The sequence below is a fragment of the Homo sapiens genome, chromosome X, assembly GCF_000001405.40.
Source record: "Homo sapiens chromosome X, GRCh38.p14 Primary Assembly".
Taxonomy (NCBI): domain Eukaryota; kingdom Metazoa; phylum Chordata; class Mammalia; order Primates; family Hominidae; genus Homo; species Homo sapiens.
Window position 1 is genome coordinate 49251872 of NC_000023.11, and position 19002 is coordinate 49270873.

The 19002-nt window shown below is 53.7% G+C and overlaps 2 protein-coding genes and 1 long non-coding RNA gene across 8 annotated transcripts in view, besides 3 other annotated features; 1 reads left to right on the forward strand and 2 right to left on the reverse strand.

Annotated features, from left to right (window-relative positions):
* The window catches only part of FOXP3 (forkhead box P3), a 14273-nt gene extending 1434 nt beyond the window's left edge, over positions 1–12839 (reverse strand). The window contains exons 1-10 of one of the 2 annotated variants that reach the window (NM_014009.4): positions 12790–12839; positions 6425–6656; positions 5793–5897; positions 5556–5694; positions 5054–5141; positions 4880–4984; positions 3844–3931; positions 3558–3638; positions 2046–2196; positions 1255–1331 (exon numbers count right to left, since the gene is read on the reverse strand). In NM_014009.4, coding sequence (NP_054728.2) covers positions 1255–1331; positions 2046–2196; positions 3558–3638; positions 3844–3931; positions 4880–4984; positions 5054–5141; positions 5556–5694; positions 5793–5897; positions 6425–6634 — 1044 coding nt within the window. In that variant the 5' untranslated portion in view covers positions 6635–6656; positions 12790–12839. The remainder of the gene's footprint in view (positions 1–1254; positions 1332–2045; positions 2197–3557; positions 3639–3843; positions 3932–4879; positions 4985–5053; positions 5142–5555; positions 5695–5792; positions 5898–6424; positions 6657–12789) is intronic. The other variant, NM_001114377.2, reaches the window with a different exon arrangement.
* FLICR (FOXP3 regulating long intergenic non-coding RNA) lies at positions 14350–14604 on the reverse strand. The gene is made up of 2 exons (NR_147988.1): positions 14577–14604; positions 14350–14427 (listed from the first exon to the last, which is right to left on the reverse strand). It is a non-coding gene; the product is annotated as an FOXP3 regulating long intergenic non-coding RNA (long non-coding RNA).
* Positions 17011–17510: an enhancer, noted in NCBI's record as "H3K27ac hESC enhancer chrX:49125345-49125844 (GRCh37/hg19 assembly coordinates)". NCBI's record gives its function as "activates a minimal SCP1, AML or CMV promoter by ChIP-STARR-seq in naive H9 embryonic stem cells {active_cell/tissue: H9 hESC(naive)}" and the evidence as "EXISTENCE:reporter gene assay evidence [ECO:0000049][PMID:30033119]".
* Positions 17208–17257: an enhancer, noted in NCBI's record as "active region_29637". NCBI's record gives its function as "activates an Ori minimal core promoter by ATAC-STARR-seq in GM12878 lymphoblastoid cells {active_cell/tissue: GM12878}" and the evidence as "EXISTENCE:reporter gene assay evidence [ECO:0000049][PMID:35858748]".
* The window catches only part of PPP1R3F (protein phosphatase 1 regulatory subunit 3F), a 31677-nt gene continuing 30596 nt past the window's right edge, over positions 17922–19002 (forward strand). For 4 of the 5 annotated variants that reach the window (XM_017029934.2, XM_047442614.1, NM_033215.5 and 1 more), the window contains exon 1: positions 17922–19002. In XM_017029934.2, the coding sequence (XP_016885423.1) occupies positions 17999–19002 (1004 nt within the window). In that variant the 5' untranslated portion in view covers positions 17922–17998. The other variant, NM_001184745.2, reaches the window with a different exon arrangement.
* Positions 17958–18197: a silencer, noted in NCBI's record as "silent region_20845". NCBI's record gives its function as "represses an Ori minimal core promoter by ATAC-STARR-seq in GM12878 lymphoblastoid cells {active_cell/tissue: GM12878}" and the evidence as "EXISTENCE:reporter gene assay evidence [ECO:0000049][PMID:35858748]".

The following is a 19002-nucleotide window of genomic DNA, read 5'->3' on the forward strand; positions in this document are numbered from 1 at the left end:
GGTAATCAGGGACAGGACTAGATGTGGGGTGAAGCATGGGGTCAAAGATGGGGTTAGAAAAGGGGTGAAGTGTCGGGTTGGGCAGGGTTAGATGGGTGTGGGTATGGTTGTTCTGGGATTAGGTAAGGGATCAGGACTGAGGTTGGGAGTGGGGTCTTGTTCAGGGCTAGGGCTGAAGTGAGGTGAAAGGTCTGGGATGGAGTTGGAGTTGGGGTTCTCTGTGGAGGTGACATTTCAGGGTTGGGGAAGGTGAAGGGTCAGAAGTGGGGTCAAGGATTTGGAAGGGGTAAAGGGCCAGGCCAACTTAAGGGTCAGGGAAGGGGTGGGTTAAGAGTCAGGCTGGGGTGGACTCAGGTGGGGGGTCTAGGGGTGAGGGATGGGATGACTTGGCTTTAGGTCAGAAGCCAGAGATGGTTTGAATTATCGAGTATCTTACGTGTCAGGGACATGGTTAGGTGGTTAGGCTCAGGGCAAGGATGAGGTTAGTTGTGGGGTTCGGTGTGGAGTGAGGCTGAGGGTCAGGGAATTTGATCAGTTTGGATTCAGGAATGGGATTACAGAGTCAGCGATGATGATTGCAGTGAGGCTATCAGTCAGGATGGGGCTAGGTCAGGGTTTCAGTTCAGAGACAGTCGGGGAATATCTGGTATCATGTAGGGGTGAGGTTCAGGTTTGGGGTTAGGTGTGGCGCTAGGATGAAGGTTCTGAGAAGGCATTGGGGAGGCTGAGATGAAGGAGTTGGGATGGGGTGATGAAGTTAAGGATCAAATGGGTGTTACAAGGAAAGGTTGGGAATGGTGCCCAGTTGGGGGTGTATTGACATACTGGGGTACGTTGGGGCCAGGGAAGGAGATGGGGTTGGGTTGGCATAAAGGCTGGGGAAGGAGTTAGAGTAAGAGCTGGGGTACGTTTAGGGCAAGGTGCAGAGATGGGGTTAGCTTTAGGCTATTTTATGGGTCCAGGAGAGGGTTAGGTATGGGGCTGAGGTGGACATCTGGAAAGGGGTAGGTTTAGGGTCAGAATTTGGCATGCTCTGGCCTGGATGGTGGTTTAGGTTTGGATTTGCGGACAGGTTTGGGGTGAAGCCAGCATGAGGGGTCACATTTGAGGCACGGCTTGGGGATCCTTGGGGCTGGGGCTTGGGAATGGAGGAACCCACTCTGAGGGCACTCAGAGGGAGACAGGAGTTTGGGAGGCAGGTCCCCCACCCCATCTTTGTCTTCCTCCTCCTTGGGGCCGAGCTGCCCTGCTTACCCAGCGGATGAGCGTGGCGTAGGTGAAAGGGGGTCGCATGTTGTGGAACTTGAAGTAGTCCATGTTGTGGAGGAACTCTGTCAGAGGGTGGGGATGAATCAAGCCCCATGCAGGACCTCCTAGCTAGCTCCCTGTCCCCTCCCCCTACAAGGTGAGTCTACAGGCCTGAGATCTCACCGTCAACACCCGTGTCCACGGGCACAGGTACTGTTTGCTGAGCACCTGACATAAGTTGTATCATTTATTCTTTGCACCACTTCTGCCAAAATAGTTCTCCCCGAGGTTGAAAAGAAGCGGAGTAACTTGCACACCAAAGGATGCAAGAGGTTAAATGGCAGAGCCAGGATGACAGTCAAGGTCTCTGATCCCTGCTAAGCCCACAGGCCAGGCCTGGTGGAGAGCAGTGGATAGGTGAGCTCGGGCGAATCCACCCCGATTTTCCTTGGTCAGGGGAGGAAAGGAGGTGCTCCTGGAATTACTTAGCAGGGTCCCTCCCTTCTGATGGCCGAATATAGTAGCTGGAGTCCAGAGTGGGTGAGGCATGGCCCCAATCCCCAAGGGAGTCAGGGCTAGGGGCCCGACACTCGAGACCATATGGGGGGCTTTCAGGCCACGGACATCCCGAAAGGAAGCTTTTGTGAGCGGATGCATTTTCCCAAAGGCTGAGTGGCGGCAGCTGCAGTGGTGGTGGTGGTGGGAAGGGGCAGCATGGAGCTCCTTTGCACCCTCCACCCAGAGCCTGTCAGGATTAGGAGCTTGGGGGCACCGTGTAGTGCAAGGACCATTCTTACCTGGGAATGTGCTGTTTCCATGGCTACCCCACAGGTGCCTCCGGACAGCAAACAGGCTGTCAGGGGCCTCCCGGGGGCCAGACCAGGCTGGGACGACAGGGCCTTGGCTGCCAGCAGCTACGATGCAGCAGGAGCCCTTGTCGGATGATGCCTGGGTGAGGGGGAGAGGCTGGTGACCCAGAGGCTTAAACTTCCCACTTTTTACTTTCTATTTTATGTTTTTTATTTTTTTTGATACTGAGTCTTGCTCTGTCGCCCAGGCTGGAGTGCAGTGGTGCAATCTCGGCTCACTGCAACCCCCACCTCCCAGATTCAAGCAAGTCTTCTGCCTCAGCCTCCCGAGTAGCTGGGACTACAGGTGCCCGTCACTACGCCCAGCTAATTTTTGTATTTTTGGTAGAGATGGGGTTTCACCATGTTAGCCAGGCTGGTCTCGAACTCCTGACCTCATGTGATCCACCCGCTTCAGCCTCCCAAAGTGCTGGGATTACAGGCATGAGCCACTGCGCCTGGCTCCACTTTATTTTTAAATCAGTGTTTTTCAAAGCAAGGACGCCCTCTTCTAAATTCCAGTCTGAGGTGGAATCCCACAAAACAGCATGAGCCGTATTTATTAGAGCACAGGTGCGGATGTCGTATGTGGCCACTGATGCTGGGACCATGAACTGGGGTTGAATAGGGCTCTTTACCACCCAACTGTGACCTTGGGAAAGTCACCTAAACCCCCCTGGCCTCAATATTCCTCATCTGTACATTCGCATCATGAGAAATAAATTACCACCAGCAAAGCGCTCAGAAACAGTGCCTGGCCTCCAGGGCTGGCTTCATGGGCGTGTGACCTATGTGGTTATGTGGCACCCTGTGCTTTGTTTAATGCTCTGTGGTCGCCATCTTGAAATCTGAACAAGGGGCCCTGCAGGTTACATAGCTGGTCCTGCTGGCACACAGCCTGCATCTGGCAAGTCTGGCTATTTGCATTTGCTTTAACAACTCAGGATCACAGTGTTTGGGGATCTTAGAGTCAGAGGGTTTTTTTTTTTTTTTTTTCTTGAGACGGAGTCTTGATCTGTCGCCTAGGCTGGAGTGCAGTGGTATGATCTCAGCTCACTGCAAACTCCGCCTCCCAGGTTCAAGCAATTCTCTGCCTCAGCCTCCCAAGTAGTTGGGACTACAGACACCTGCCACCACGCCTGGCTAATTTTTTGTACTTTTAGTAGACACAGGGTTTCACCATCTTGGCGAGGCTGGTCTTGAACTCCTGACCTCGTGATCCACCCGCCTCGGCCTCCCAAAGTGCTGGGATTACAGGCGTGAGCCACCACGCCCAGCCGGGGTCAGAGGGTTTGTAAGTAGAAGGGGACAGATTTCCAGGTCTGGGCATGTTTGGAGCTGGGGACAGGGGCCCCTAGCTCTCAGGACCTGAATGTGAGGTTAGGTTCCCTGCACCGTGCAGACCTCCTCCCTGCCCCCCAGCAGTCTGAGTCTGCCACCACCAGTCCTGGGGTCGCTCACCACAGATGAAGCCTTGGTCAGTGCCATTTTCCCAGCCAGGTGGGCCTGCATGGCACTCAGCTTCTCCTTCTCCAGCACCAGCTGTGAAATGGCACAAACATGAGGCCTCAGCCTGGCCCTTCTCTGCCACATCTTTGCCCAGGCTACGGTCTTCCCTGGGAGTGCCCGCTCCTCTTCCTTCCTTTATACCAGCCCTCGTCCCAGGTGAACTTGGTTTCTGGCACATGGTGGACAGAAGGTTTTGCGCACTATCCCTATCCCTTACCCTCCACCGCCCTGGCATTACCTGCTGCTCCAGAGACTGTACCATCTCTCTCTGGAGGAGACATTGTGCCCTGCCCTTCTCATCCAGAAGATGGTCCGCCTGGCAGTGCCTAAGTAGGGAGAAGATTCCATGCAGGTGACCACGACAGGCCTGGTCTGGCTCAATGCTCTGAATGGGGAGGGCCCAGACCCTCTGGGAGTTCTCTCCTCTGAGCCCCAGCTCCCCTCCCCTCTCTACCTCAGTCTCCCTCTCACACCCCTCGTTCCCTTAACACATGCCCCTCAGCACCTACTGCATGTCAGGCCTGAACTCACCACTTGAGCCTGGCCAGAGTGCTGGAGATAATGTTGGAAGTGTGGTGAGTTGAGAATGGGCCAGGGAGGTGAGAGTGGGCAAAGCATTCTGGGTGGAGGGACGGCCTGTGCAAAGGCCTGGCTGCAAGGAGGACAGGACATGTGGGGTTGCTGCTAAGGGTTGTGTGTAGTGTGGTGTGTATTTGTGTGTGTGTGTGTGTGAGAGAGAGAGAAAGAGAGAGAGAGAGAGAGAGAGAGAGAGAGAGAGAGAGAGAGAGAGAGAGAGAGACATATGGGGGGACTGAGGGGAGGCAGCAGCAGCCATCTAGAGGAGCTAGAACTTTGGGAACAGTGGAATAAGGCTGGCATGTTGGCATGAGGAGTAGCAGGGCAAAGCAGGAGTGCAGATTCTAGAGCCTGGCTACATGGGTTCAAATCCCAGCTCTGTCACTCAGGAACTGGGAGATTTTGATCAAGACACTTAACCTCTTTGGCCTCAGTCTCCTTGTCTGTAAAATGGGGGTAAATAACAGCACAAACGTTTCTTATTATACATACGAGAAAACTGAGGTCGAGAGAAGCTAAGTAATTTGTCCAAGGTCACACAGCCAGTCAGGGATGGAGCTGGGATTTGAACCCACAGTCTCAGAGTTTAGCTCTTGCATCTTACTACTTATTGGGATGAAGCCTGAGCTGAGATCTGCACCCTAGACCTCTCCCCACAAGCCAGGGCCGGTAGACTGGCACAGGCCTGGGCCACTCACTTGAGGAAGTCCTCTGGCTCTTCGAAGACCTTCTCACATCCGGGCCACTTGCAGACACCATTTGCCAGCAGTGGGTAGGAGCTCTGGGGCACAGCCGAAAGGGTGCTGGGGGGACAGAGGGTGTCAGGGGAGGGGATAGGAGGGCGAGGATCCTTCCCAGCCCTGTCCACTGACCTGTCCTTCCTGGGTGCACTGGGATTTGGGAAGGTGCAGAGCAGTGCCGGCTCCCTGGACACCCATTCCAGGCTGGCCACGTTGATCCCTGTGGGTGGGGACAGGGCACCTATGGAGGCTGTGGGCTGGGCTCTGGAGCTTGGCCCACAAGGCCTCTCATTTTGAGCTTCCCACCCTCCTGAGCCTCGAAAACCCTGACTCCCAGGGGGCTCTGCTGTCCCCAAAGTCCCAGGCTTCTGGCAGAGAAGCTTAAAGACGGCCATTCGCAGGTGCTGACATTTTGACTAGCTTTGTAAAGCTCTGTGGTTTTGTGATTTTGACATTCTGCATCTTTAAGGTTCTGCACCTGACGTTTTTTGGAGGGTGGAGTTTCCAAGCCTCTGAGACCTGACACCTTTGACCCCCAGAGTACTGCAATTCAGAATAGCCTACACTGCTCACAGCCAAGGATCTGGGGACTTGGGGGTTCTGTGAAGCCATGGGGTACGGGCTGAGGTGTTACCAGGTGGGAGGCCAGGCCGGGCCTTGAGGGAGAAGACCCCAGTGGCGGTGGTGGGTGGTGTGAGGCTGATCATGGCTGGGCTCTCCAGGGGGTGCACCTGCAGCACAGGGGTCCGGGCGTGGGCATCCACCGTTGAGAGCTGGGGGGCACATGTGGGCTGTGGTTCAGCCTGACTCGGGGCCCCTCCCCACAGTTCTCCCACCTGCTCCCTCCTCCCTGCCCATTCACCGTCCATACCTGGTGCATGAAATGTGGCCTGTCCTGGAGGAGTGCCTGTAAGTGGGGCAAGGGGCCCAGCCGTGCCCCGGAGGGTGCCACCATGACTAGGGGCAGTGTGGGCAGCTGGGCAGAAAGGCAGGTGGGTGAGAGGCCATCCTGATCCTCACTGTTCTGTGTCTAATTCAAATACTCTGCACTGCAAGCCCACATGGTAGATGCTATGATCATCCCCCTTTTACACGTATGGAAACTGAGGCTCATGGAGATCGAGTAACTTTTTAAAGATCAAACAGCTAATAAGTTGCAGAGCTGGCCTCAGCCCTGTCACCTCACCTACTTGGCCCCAGTCCTCTTCTCTTGTCACATGGGGATGGGGACACATAGCTATGCTCATGGGACTACAATACGGCCTCCTCCTCTCCTGAGACAGGGATTGGGAGGTCGGGGAGAGCCTCCAATCTCTGAGGCCTGGCAGGTGGGGATTTTCTTGGCCCTGCAACATCTGCATAAGTCACAGACTTGCCTGGGACCCAGAAACCACTTCCTGTGCCCCAGCCAGCCCCCCTCCCGCCCAGTGCCACAGTAAAGGTCGGCACCTGTAGGTCCAGGTACCCCACCCTGCCTGCCCCATCCTGGGCCCAGGGCCTCACCTGCAGCTGCGATGGTGGCATGGGGTTCAAGGAAGAAGAGGAGGCATGGGCCCCGCCTCGAAGATCTCGGCCCTGGAAGGTTCCCCCTGGGCCCCGGGCCCCCAGCAGGTCTGAGGCTTTGGGTGCAGCCCTCCAGCTGGGCGAGGCTCCTGGGGATGGGCCAAGGGCCAAGGAAGGGGCCGAGGGCTTGCCAGGCCTGGGGTTGGGCATCGGGTCCTTGTCCAAGGGCAGGCTGCGTAGACAATAGGGGAAAGGAGTCACACGTGTGCTAGGGCGGTATGAGATACTCGACCACCTGAGCCACGTGGACACTCCTCTGGTCAAAGCAGGCATTGGCTGGGACATGTCCCGAGGGGCCCCATAGTTGCACCCCAGCTCTAGACACACACACACACACACACACACACACACACCAAGAACACAGGTACATGTACATACCCACACATGCCCCACGTGCAGAGGTCCAGCACCTGGCTTGCCTGCCCACGCTAGCACAGCCCTGGTGTGGATGTGTCCTCTATGAGGGCAATGGTTGTTTCCCCCTCCACTTGAGAGCTGTTTCAAGCCTCAGGCCTCTAGCCCTCCCTGCACCCTGCACAGGCTGTGTTTGCTCATCTTGCCGGAGCTGGTCTCGGACTTTCTCCTCGGAGTCCTATTTTGCCCCAGTGACTAGGCATGGACTCAAAAGATTCATCTGGCTGCTGTGAGTGGGGCTAGTGAGGAGGCTATTGTAACAGTCCTGGCAAGTGATGATGCTGGCACAGAATGGGCTGGTGGCAGTGGAGAAGGCGAGAAGTGGGTAGATTCTGAGACTTAATCTGAAGCTGGATCAGGAGCAGTGCTAGCAGCTTGGATGTAGTGGGCAAGAGGGAGAGTCAAAGTGACATGGGTTTTAGCTTGAGCAGCTGGAAGGACCGAGCTGACATTACCTGAGATGGGGGACATGGCGGGGAGTTGGATTGGGTGCAAAAGTGCAGGTGTAGATAGACATGAAGAGTCTGGCATTAAATATGTGAGTGGAGGAGCTGAGGGGGCAGCTGAATACGGGGGTCTGGATCTCAGGGCAAGGAGGCGAGTCCAGGAGTGTGATCATGCACGGATCCAGCATGGCAAGTGACAGAGAGGAGGAGAGATGGGGTCTCTTGAGCTGGGGCCTGTAGAAGCTTCTCTACCCAGCCCCCATCAGAGTTCACCCCAATTTCTGGCCCTCAAGCCTGGCTCATGCTACACCCCCTGCCTCAAATGCCCACTCCTTCTCCTCTTTCCCTGTCCAAGCCACGCAAGACCTGCTCTTCTATTGTCCTCACCTTGAAAGCCCTCCACAATGGCTCCGGGCCCCCTGCTGAGCCCCAGAACCTTCCACTCCCTGAGGGAAGCACTGGCTTTTCAGGATCCTATAATCCTGGTCTGAGAGGAAGCCAGAGCTGGAAGGGACTGCCCAGCCAACCCCATTATACAGAAGGGGATGCTCAGATGCCGAGTTCCGTAGTCCCATAGTGACTTGAGAACTCCACTTCTTTCTTTAGGAAGTGTTTCCGTGTGCACATTTTATAAACTCTCTGGTGTGTGTGTGTGTGTGTCTCCATCTCCCCGTTCCACCTCACAGCACTGAGTTGGGCACACAGCTGCTGAGAGCAGCCCGGGGGAGTATAGAAGGGTTCTGGGGGAGCAGTTGCTCCTTCCTTTCTTTGCTGTCACCTCCTGGGGGTGGTTGTCAGAGCTGTGGTGCTGAGGGAGATGAGTGTGAGAATCCAGGTATTAAGTTCTTAGTCTCCTGGGGGCTTAGAACATTACTGCGTGAGAAACAGGAGTGTGGGTCTGTGGAGGCTCCGAACAAGGGCCTGGGAGAGCACTGGTGAGATGAGAAGGTGAGTGAATGAATGAAGCCAGAGATGGGGTGATGCTCCTTCAAGCCAAGAAATAACAAAGATTGCCAGCAACCACCAGAAGCTGGGGGAGAGGCCTGGAGCAGCTTCTCCCTTATGGCCCCCAGAAGGAACCAACCCTGGCAACACCTTGATCTTGGACTCTGGCCTCCAGAACTGTGAGATGATCAATTTCTGTTGCTGAAGCCACTCAGTTGTGGTACTTTGTTATAGCAGCCAGAACAAACTAATACCGATTTCGGTGCAAATGGATGTTTTCCACCACTCTGGCCTGGCCCATGTGGCTGGCCTGTGGTCACTTCTGAAGCTGCCTGGACACTTGGCCAGAGCTAAGAATTCTCCCCAAACACATGTGGGATGGCCTGACTCAGCAAAGCATAGATACATTCTCAGACAGGGACATGGAGATGATCTGTCTGGGGGTAGAGGACCTAGAGGGCCGGGCTGGGCAGCCGGCTTCCTGCACTGTCTGTTGGGACGTCCCTTTCTGACTGGGTTTCTCAGAAGCTGAATGGGGGATGTTTCTGGGACACAGATTATGTTTTCATATCGGGGTCTGCATCTGGGCCCTGTTGTCACAGCCCCCGACTTGCCCAGATTTTTCCGCCATTGACGTCATGGCGGCCGGATGCGCCGGGCTTCATCGACACCACGGAGGAAGAGAAGAGGGCAGATACCCCACCCCACAGGTTTCGTTCCGAGAACTGGCTGCCCTGTCCTGCAGCAGGCTTGGCCCAGGTGGGGTGACATGGGTGCTGGTGGATGTGGTAGGTGATGTCCATCTGGCCACTATGACAAGCCCCTAGCTCTGAAGACCTGGCCCTTCTTGGGTTGTGGAGAGGACCCAGGTTTGAAGCTCTGAGAGTGCCAGGCAGGCTCCACAGATACTGGGACCCCTGGGGTCTTCAAATAGTATAACACCAGGACCTCAGAATCATAGAACAGCATTTCTTAGATTTAAAGGATCCTAGAATCTCAAAACCACAGACTGTGGGGTCTACGGTCCCAAAGTCTCAGTATGTGTAGGCCAGTGTCCCTGGTGTCCAAACTCCTTGGAACCATCTGAAAGTCAGGCAGCTTGCTGCTTCATAGGGCCTCTTGCCTACCAGGCCTGGAAACAGAGCCAGCCTCCCTAGGGCCTCAGTCTCCCTGTCCACTCTGGAACAACGTTCCCAAATACATGGCCACTCCGCCAGAGATGGCAACAGGGGGAGGAGGAGGTTGAGGCTGGTGTGCCTTTGGTCTGGGCCTCATGGGGGGAGCTGGAAAAGCCTCAGCCTTCGCCAATACAGAGCCCATCATCAGACTCTCTAGAGGGGCCCCACAATCAAGGTTTTCGGGGACCAGCACCAGCTCTGGGGACACACAGCCTGACTGACTGACATGCCTCCATCATCACCACGCTCTGGCCAACTAGGCCTCCTGACCTATGGAGTCCGGGGCCTCACCTAGCCCAGCTCTTGTGAGGCTGGGCCCCACACTGTGATCGTGGATCGTCCAACCTGTGGGAAGTTGGGGTCCAACGTGTGAGAAGGCAGAAGGGGGAATGGTAGCCCAGGTTCCCCTTCCCCCTTCTGGGTGCTGAGGGGTAAACTGAGGCCTGCAGTTGGGGAGAGAGCCAGAACCAGGGTCCCACCTAGAGTCCTGAGATCTAGGCTTGGATTTCAACTCTGCCGCTGCATTTCGGTGAGGCCCTGAGATCTCTGGTCTTCAATTTGCCCTTCTACACTGAGCACGGAGAGGCGTGGAGTAGACAAGGGCCAGGGCCCTTCTACGCTGTCTGGTTAAGTCATTAGGTGTCTGCAGGGCTTCAAGTTGACAATTGCCCCTCTATCCAGGGGACTGGCTGAGAGATAGGGATACATAGAGACAAAGAGACACACACAAAGAGCGAGCAAGAGAGAACAAGAGATAGTGAGAGACATTGAGAGAAATGGACACATGCATGGAGAGCCAGAGTGCATGTGTGCGAGAGGAGGATTGCCTCAAATAAGAACATTTGCTGGTCTCTGGCTGGTTCAACTGATGCTGCCTGAAATAATCAAGAATAAAGAAGGGCAAGGTGCCAGGGACACCCATGGCTGGGTATTGAATTGTATTGCAAAGCAACAATCAGCAAAACAGTGTGGCCCTGGTATAAGAACAGATACTGGGGAAGAGAACAGAATAGAAAGCTTGGACATGGACCCACATATGGAGAGAACTGAATTTGTGATGAATGTGGCATTTCAAACTGGAGGACCATGGAGTATGGTTTAACAAATGTGTCTGAGATAATTAGGGAGAAGATAAAGTTATTGAGTGAATAGTCAGTCCATTATCCCAACAACCCCTCCCTGCCCAGTTTGAAATGTCACCATCATCATATACCCTAAAATGCCCAGATCCATTCAAGATATAAGTTTTAACACCTAATGCTGATCTTGGGTTTATTGTGTGTCAGGCCTTGTGCTAAGTATTTACTGTGGTTAAAAATTTTAATCTAAACAAAGACTCCTGAGGAAGGTACTATTATAACCATTGCAGTACATATGAGGAAATGGAGGTATGGAGAGGTTAAGTGCCTGGCTAAAAATCACACATAGGGCTTGGGGTGACGCTGGGTTTGTCCCAGACAGTCTGGCTCCAGTACCCACACTCTTAACCTCTATAGTAAATGGAAAAAATGAAGCCATAAAAGAGACTAGAAGCCAACATAGGTGAACATTTATCTCATTTTCAAGTAGGAAAGGACTTTCTAAGCACAAAACCAGAGACAGAAGCCACAGAAAAAAAGACTAACCTATTTGACTGTATAAAACCATCATAAGCATCACAAAAAACACCATAAACAAATAGAAAAAAAGCAAATGATGAATTGGGGAAAATATTTGCTATATATGTAATGGCTGATGAAAGGTTAATAACCATTCCAAATAAAGAGCTGTGGCAAATCAATAAGGGAAAAATAAGATGAACACCCTATTAGGAGTAAGGACATGACCAGACAACCAAAAAAAAAAAAAAAAAAGCATGAATGGCCAATGAATAGTAAAAGTAATCACAAGATGCAAATTTCAACAATGTGATAATGTGTTTTTCTTACCTGTCATGTTGGGAAATAATTAAAACATAATAATACTCACCTAGGGTTAGCTTAAGTAGAGGGAGCATAAAATAGGACAACCTTTTGGAAGGAGAATTAGCAGAGAGGGTCATAAACTTTAAAAATGCACGCCCCCTTTGCCCCAGCAACTCCCTTTTCAGGAATCCAAGGAAGCAGTCAGGGATGTTTATAGAAAAAAACGAGAAACAACCGGAATGTCCAACAATCGGCACTTGGTCAAATCAATCAAAGTTCATGCTGATGTGAGGACAGTCTTGTCCATCATGAAAGATCATGTGTTCAAACAATTTTTAGTAAGCTTCAAAAACACTACTGTTAATTGAATAAAGCAGGAACAAAACCAATATATAGCATGATTCTAATTTGGTTACAGAAATACTAATAGCTAACACTTCGTGAGCACTTACTTTGTGCCAAACGCTGTGCTAAGCCTGCAGAATCGAGCTCACCCCAGCCCTGAACAACCTGTTTGCTTCCTGAATATGGACTCTGGTCACACACATGCAGTCCTGGGGTAGGTCCACACAGCTAAACTACGGTTGACAATGGTGTGAAGTGCTCCCTGCCCCCCCGCCCCAAGGGTCTCCTCTAAAGCGATACAAGCAAAGTTCAGTTAAGTGCTCAGCTTGCCCCGGCACCTTGCAATCCTCCTGCTACTAGGGTGAACAGAACTGATGCTCACTCTCATAAAATGTAAAGGTCCTCGGCGACATTACTATTATTAAACGCCAGCTGTGTACAAAGCTCTAGGCTGGATGCTGGCTGGGAAGGCAGGTGGGGGAAGGCAAGAAAAGAGAGCGGGAGAGATGGAGGAAAGGAGATCGATGGAGTGTGGTCAAGATGGAGGAGACAGAGATAGGGGAGATGGTCAGAGGCCAGGAGAGATGCGGGGAAAGAGAGTCTGAGTGTAGCGACAGACAGATGGCGGGAGAAAGAGAGGCAGAGAAACATGTAAAAGAGCAAGACAGGGTGAGCAGAGAGACAGAGAAGGATGAGAGGCATCAAGAGCTAAGAGACAAAGAGATGAGAGAGATGCAGTTGAAATTTTCAGTTGCACCTGGACAGCATTTCAAGTTGTTCAAAGCTCTGAAATCCATAAAGACTGGCAGCTGACATATTTTAAAAATCCTATCCATCTACGTATCAATTGATGAATTCATTTATTTTTGCCCCTGCCCATGCATTAAGTACTTCACCTTTAAGTCTTCTGCCATTTATTCTATTATTTTTTTAAAGACCTTACCTGGCTGGAATCACGGTAGCTGGGTACATCCCACTGTACCAGAGGGCCCCTGACCCCCCCGCCGTGCCTACCTCCCTGCCATCTCCTCCAATGGGGCCCACATCTGGTAGGGGAGAGCAGGGACACTCACCTTGGTGAAGTGGACTGACAGAAAAGGATCAGCCTGGCTTGTGGGAAACTGTCACGTATCAAAAACAACTTTGCTTTTATACCGAGAAGAAAAACCACGCTGTACGGTGTGGAAGCCGCAGACCTCTCTCTTCTAATAATCCAAATTTTTTTCGATGAGTGTGTGCGCTGATAATCACGGGGTGGGGAGGGGTTCTCATAGTTTTTTTTTTCTCTCTCTCTGTGTTTCTCCTTTTCTTGATTATGAGACTTAAACGGAAATTTTGAAATTTTGGGTTTTTTTCTTTGCCCTTTACGAGTCATCTGAAAATATGATTTCTTCCCCTCACCACAGAGGTGAGAGGTATCAATGAGATAATAGGGCTCATGAGAAACCACAGTTTTTAAAACAAAAGTGTATAGAGTTTGAAAAAAAAAAAACAAGGGAAAAGAACTAAAATAAATCACAGGGCCAACCCGAGGCAGGCAGAGACACCATTCTGTGAGTGAGAGGATATTTGAGGGTCTCTGGGGAAAGAAAGAGAATCTGAAGCTCTATGTGTGGATGGGAAATGCCAGGGAAAGAGACAGAATAGGGCTGGGTTCCCAGAGGCCTCGCCCTACTCCAGGCCTCAGTTTCCCTATAGATGGAATTGATATGGTCCCCATTGCTTGAACTACCCGGCGAGGGGAGTTCTGCACCCCCTGCAACACCCCTCCCACAGAGGGTGAGGGGCATGTAAGTTACTTCATGGAGGAGAAAGCGGAGAGCCCACTGTCATCCCCTAAAATTCATGGACTTGAAGAGTCGGAGAATCCCTGGCTCCCAGAATCTACTGACAGTTACTGAATGAGGAAAGAGAGAAAAGTCTCGCCTCATCACGTTTTAGGGCTTGAGTGCCCTGACCCAGCCACTGTCCCACTGGGAAGGTCCCTAGCAGGTCCCCAATATTAATGCATCCATCCTCACGATGAACCCCAGAGGCCCATTGGGACCCTGACCCTCTTGTTTCAGGAACATCATGGCCTGATGCTTCTGAGGCCCTCAGCCTTTGGGGTCTTTTACTTCAAAAAGCCCCAGTTTCCAAGGATTTAGGATTCCAAATATCCGCCATCATCTCAGTAGCTGATGTTTATCTTGAATTTTCCATGGGTCAGATACAGTGCTGAACATGTCTCACAAGTGATCATGTTCAATCCTCACCATGGCCCCTTGAGCTCCATCTCATCATTATTGTATTCCTGTTATACAGATGAGGGAAACGGAGGTATAAGTAGTCAAGCAACTTGCCCAAGATCACAGAGCTGGCGAGTGTGGGTCCCGCTTTCTTTGGTGCTGGGCTTTGAAATCCCCAAGCTTTCCTGAACTTGATGTTCTCAGGTTTTAAATTCTAGGATGTGATGGCAGGGAGATCCTGGGATTTGGAGAGTCCTTGGAGACTTGAAGCTTGTGAGGCTTTTAGGTTGTCCAGGAATTGGCGGCTGCATCTCTTGACCTCAGCAGGCACTCTATTCAACCACTGGTCAGCATGGTAGACCAGCCCCCAGGGGCTTCTCCTGACAGGCCATGGTGAAGACTTCCAGCTCCCAGCACCCTGCAAAGCCCAGGGTTCTAGTCGTCCAACAACCACTCCAGCCCTCTACAAGACTGGCTTCAGACCTGGGGAAGAGAAATTGGAAAGGGCTTTTTATTTACATGGTACAAATCTGGTGGCCAAGATCCACCCCTTCACCCCTTTGCCCCCTTTCCTCCCCCAACCTTCTAAGCCCTCGTAAAAAGGAGGGCCTCTTTCCTCAACTCAGACTCACCCTTCTGGAAAAGCCCAGAATGGGCCTGATGGCCTGGCTTTGTGAAGACAAGAAAAAAAAAAAAAAAGAATAGAAAAAAAAAGACCTTAAAAAAATCAGCCAACAACAATTAAAAAAAAAAAAAAACACCCAACCCTCCCCACCATTAGTTCAAAACAAAACTTTCGCTGGTTGAGGCTTCTGAGTTGGTGGGACACATCTGAGACCCAAAAATGGCTTGGGTGTGTTGGACAGCCAGGGGAGGCACCAAGGTGGGATGAGGTCCCCTGCTTGGAGGCCTGCAGGGACCCTGTGAACAGCAGGTGTTTAACAGATGTCACGGCATGTGGGAGGGAGCAAGGGAGGGGGTGAGGAGCATGCATGTCAGGAAGGAGTCCTGGGGAGCTGATTCTAGTGATGGCCCCAAGGTTAATGACCCCTTGCAGTGATGGTCCTAAGGTTAATGATCCCTTGCACTGATGTTCCCATAGTTAATAACCCCTTGCTCCCTGCAGACTTGGGTCGGAATGTTCCCTACACCTCCTGCGTAATTATAAACCAGGCCAGTTCTATCAGCAGAGGCATTGTTCCCTGCCCCAGCACCTGTCCCCCTCCTGGAAAAGGGGGCTAGTTTTCTCTCTCAGGATCAGAGGTGTGGGCTGCATTCTCCTTATACCTTCCCCAGACCATCTGTCCCTTACTGTCACTCACTCCATGAAAGAGAGTGGCCAGAGATATAGGAGGCAAACGAAGTGAGGATGGTGGCCGAGAATGTGAGCTGGCCCCTTGGGCAGGCCCAGGGTGTGAGAGGGAAATGCTACGGCTGCTGAAAGCCAAGATCCTTGCAGAATGGGGGCTGGGGTCAGGAGGGCAGAGAGGGGTAGAGGTCGCTACCTCCCCTCTATACTGGACTATATCCTCTCTCATGGAGGGCTTCTCGGGAAGGAGACTGGGAGGGCTGGGAGTTGGGGGTGAGTAGGCAAGATTAAACGGGTCAGGAAAAGTCCCCAGAGACAGGGGCCTCTGACAAAGACTTGAAGGAGATGAGGGAGGGAGCCAGCTAGATATCTGAGGAACTCCAAAGGAAACAGCCAGGGCAAAGGTCCTGAGGTGGGAATGTACCTGATTTGTTCAAGGTCTACAAGGGGGCTGGTGTGGTTAGTGTGGAGAGAGCAAGAAGAGAAGCTGGAGGTGAGGTCAGAAAGGGGACTCGGAGGTTAGACCACGCAGGACCTTGTAGGCCATGGTAAGGACTTTGGCTTCAACGCTGAGTGAGGAGGAAGGCATGACAGGGTTGCAAGCAGAGGAGAAACACAAACCGTGTTAGGATTTAACAGGAAGCCCCTGAATGCTGAGTGTACAATGGGGTCTAGGGCCTGAATGTGGAAGCAGGGGACCAGCAAGGAGCTGGCTACTGCAGTAGTCTAGGTGACTGGTGATAGTGCTGGCAGTGGAGGTGGTGAGAAGAGGATGGATTTGGTAAATATTTTTAATAGACAGCCAAAAGGATTTGTTGAAGACTGAGAGTCTTGGAGCCAGATCGGGACAGACAATGCCCAAACCAGGTGGGCAGGAAGGAGTCCCTGGACTATTTGCCAGCTTGAACTTTTAGGTGAGAAAAAAATAAAGTTCTGTCTTGCTTAAGCCCCCATTATTTTATGATTTTTCTGTTACTTGCAGCTGAACATATTCATTTCTAACTCATGGACATCCTGAACATGGAGACCTGGGGAGAGGGGCTGCTGGAAGGATCACCTCCCTCCTAGGATGCTGTGAGGTTCTAATGAGATAACAGCATGCTCAGAACCTGGCACTCAGTAGGTGTTCAGTAAATCTTCCCAGGATGGAGAAGGAATGTATGAATGGATGTGTTCAGCGGACAAAAGCTGCAGTTGAGTTCCCACAGAAGGTGAGACCCCAAAGGGAGAGCGAAAGGAGTTTACTAGATGGAAGCAGCAGAAGGAACAGCACTCTTGGGAGAGGGAACAGTAGAAGCAGAGATGGGGGGACAGAAAGAAGGGAGGTGAGGCCCCTGTGGGGTGTGGAGTGTCAGGTTGGGCAAGAAGGACAGGGCTTTGATTGTGATTCCATTAGTCAGAAGCTACCCATATGCCCAATCAACTTCTGGTAGCACACAGTCAGGTCAGTGTTTGCTGAGCTGAAATTTAAAAAAGTGAATCCTTCAGAAAGTTAAATTTCCTATTCGGCCATTCATTCAACAATAGTATCAAGTCCTGGAGAGTGCTTGCGGCTAACAATCAGGGGCATTCTTGGCTTGTGGCACTGCTCAAGAAAAGGTTGTAGTTGGGCAGGGAGGACCCAGTAAGTAACTAACTGCAACAGGACAGTCATTTTCACTTTCCTAGTTCACACACCAAGGTGTGGTCTAGGCCTTCAGGGGCTCTGGGTATTCCTGGGGCAATGGGGAGTCACGGAGGGTTAGGGAGAGGGTAACCCCATCCCTGAGAAGCACATTTTTCCTAATGGCTGCCTGCGTTCTATGGTTCTGCTGTCCGGCCACCCAATACCTCAGACTCTGTCTACACAGCGTCCTCCTCTCCAGCCTCCTTATTGGCTACTCATGCCTCCCTTCACACCACCTACACTGCCCCCGTCGGCTCTGCTTTTTTCCCCATCTTGCCTCCAAGTCCTCCCTCCGTCCCGCTGCACTATCTAGCCTCGGCATTGGCTCATCCCATACTAGTACTGTCCTTTGAGGTCTCTACGCCTTCACCCTGGCTCCCTCATTGGCTATCCGCCAGCTCTCGTCCTCGCTCCCGCCTTCAGCCTCCACCTCCATTGGCTCGGCTCCCTACACACCCGCCTCTTGGTCTCCTTTTAGCCTTCGTATTGGCTAGCTCCACCTTGGCACCACCCCTTCGAAGCCGCAGTGCACGCTCACAAGCCTCCCCATTGGCTCGCTGCAGCCATTGTCGTCATCCCACGCGTGGCTCTCCATTGGCTGTTCTCTCTCTCTAGCTACCGTTCCACCGCCTACGCAACCCGCGGGATCTCCCACTTTTTGGGCCTCTGCGTTCGTTCCCGGCTGCCCTCATCGCCTGTAGCCATTCCACTTTTCCCACCGCCCACATGCCTCTCTCGCTCAGACTTCCGCATTAGCTGTCTGCTTCTGTTTTCTTCATCATGGATTTCGCACCACCCCCATTCCGGCCTCTCCATTGATTCCTCGATCATCCCGCCCCCTACACCGCCCACTCCCGGGCATCCCCATTGGCTGCGTGCTTCTCCGGCTCTCAATTCGCTGTACGTCATCCGTGCATGGCTGCCCATTGGCCCTCTGCAATACTTGTCTTCATCTCACCGCCTATGCCCCCGTGAGCCGTACCCCTCCGCGCTGGCCTTCCCATTGGCTGCCCGCCCCTTCAGGCCCTGCCCCCGCCGGTCCCGCCGCCGGTGCCGTCGGTGCCGCCGCCGCCGCCGATATGGCGCGTACGGCCCCTGTGGAGCCCCCGCTGCGGCATTCCGCGCCCCCCTCGCCGGCCGCGGGTGAGCCCCGCACCTCGGTCGAGGCGGCGGTGGCCCCGCGGAGGGTGCTGTTCGCCGACGAGGCCTTGGGGCTGCCGCTGGCGCAGTTGCGCCGCTACCGGCCGTGGGGCGGGCCCGGGGCGGGCAAGATGGCGGCGGCGGCCGGGCAAGATGGCGGCGGCGGCGGCGGGGCCGACGAGGACGACGATGGCGAGGATGGGGATGAAGGGGAGGAGGAAGAGGAGGCTTGCCCCGAGCCCTCACCGCTGTGCCCCGTCCCCGCTGGCGGGGGGTTTTACCTGGTCCCCACATTTTCGCTGCCGCCCGCGCCGGGCCGTCTGGAGCGCTTGGGGCGCGTCATGGTGGAGCTGGAGGCGCTGCTGCCGCCTCCCGGAGCGGTCCCCGGGGGTGCCGGGGTGTGGGTGCCTGGGGGCCGCCCGCCGGTGCTGCGCGGGTTGGTACGCGTGCTGAACCGCTCCTTCGAGAAGGCGGTGCACGTGCGGGCCTCACACGACGGCTGGGCTTCCTTTTGCGACCACCCAGCGCGCTACGTCCCGCGCAGCCCGCCGTGGGCAGGAGCGGGAGGAACAGGAGCAGGAGATCCCATCCTGGATCCGGGGCTCGGCCTGGGTCCCGGCCAGGCATCCGCCTCCTCGCCCGACGACGGCGGCCGCACCGACCGCTTTGCCTTCCAGCTGCCCTTTGCTGAGGGCGCGGGCGATGGGGCGCGCCTCGACTTCGTGGTGCGCTATGAGACCCCTGAGGGCACTTTCTGGGCCAACAACCACGGCCGCAACTACACAGTCCTGCTCCGGATCGCACCCGCTCCCACACCCACTGATGCCGAAGGGCTGCCCCAGCAGCAGCAGCTGCCGCAGCTGGAGCCACAGCCCGAGTGCCAGGGTCCCGTGGAGGCTGAGGCCAGGCAGCTGAAGAGCTGCATGAAGCCGGTGAGGCGCAG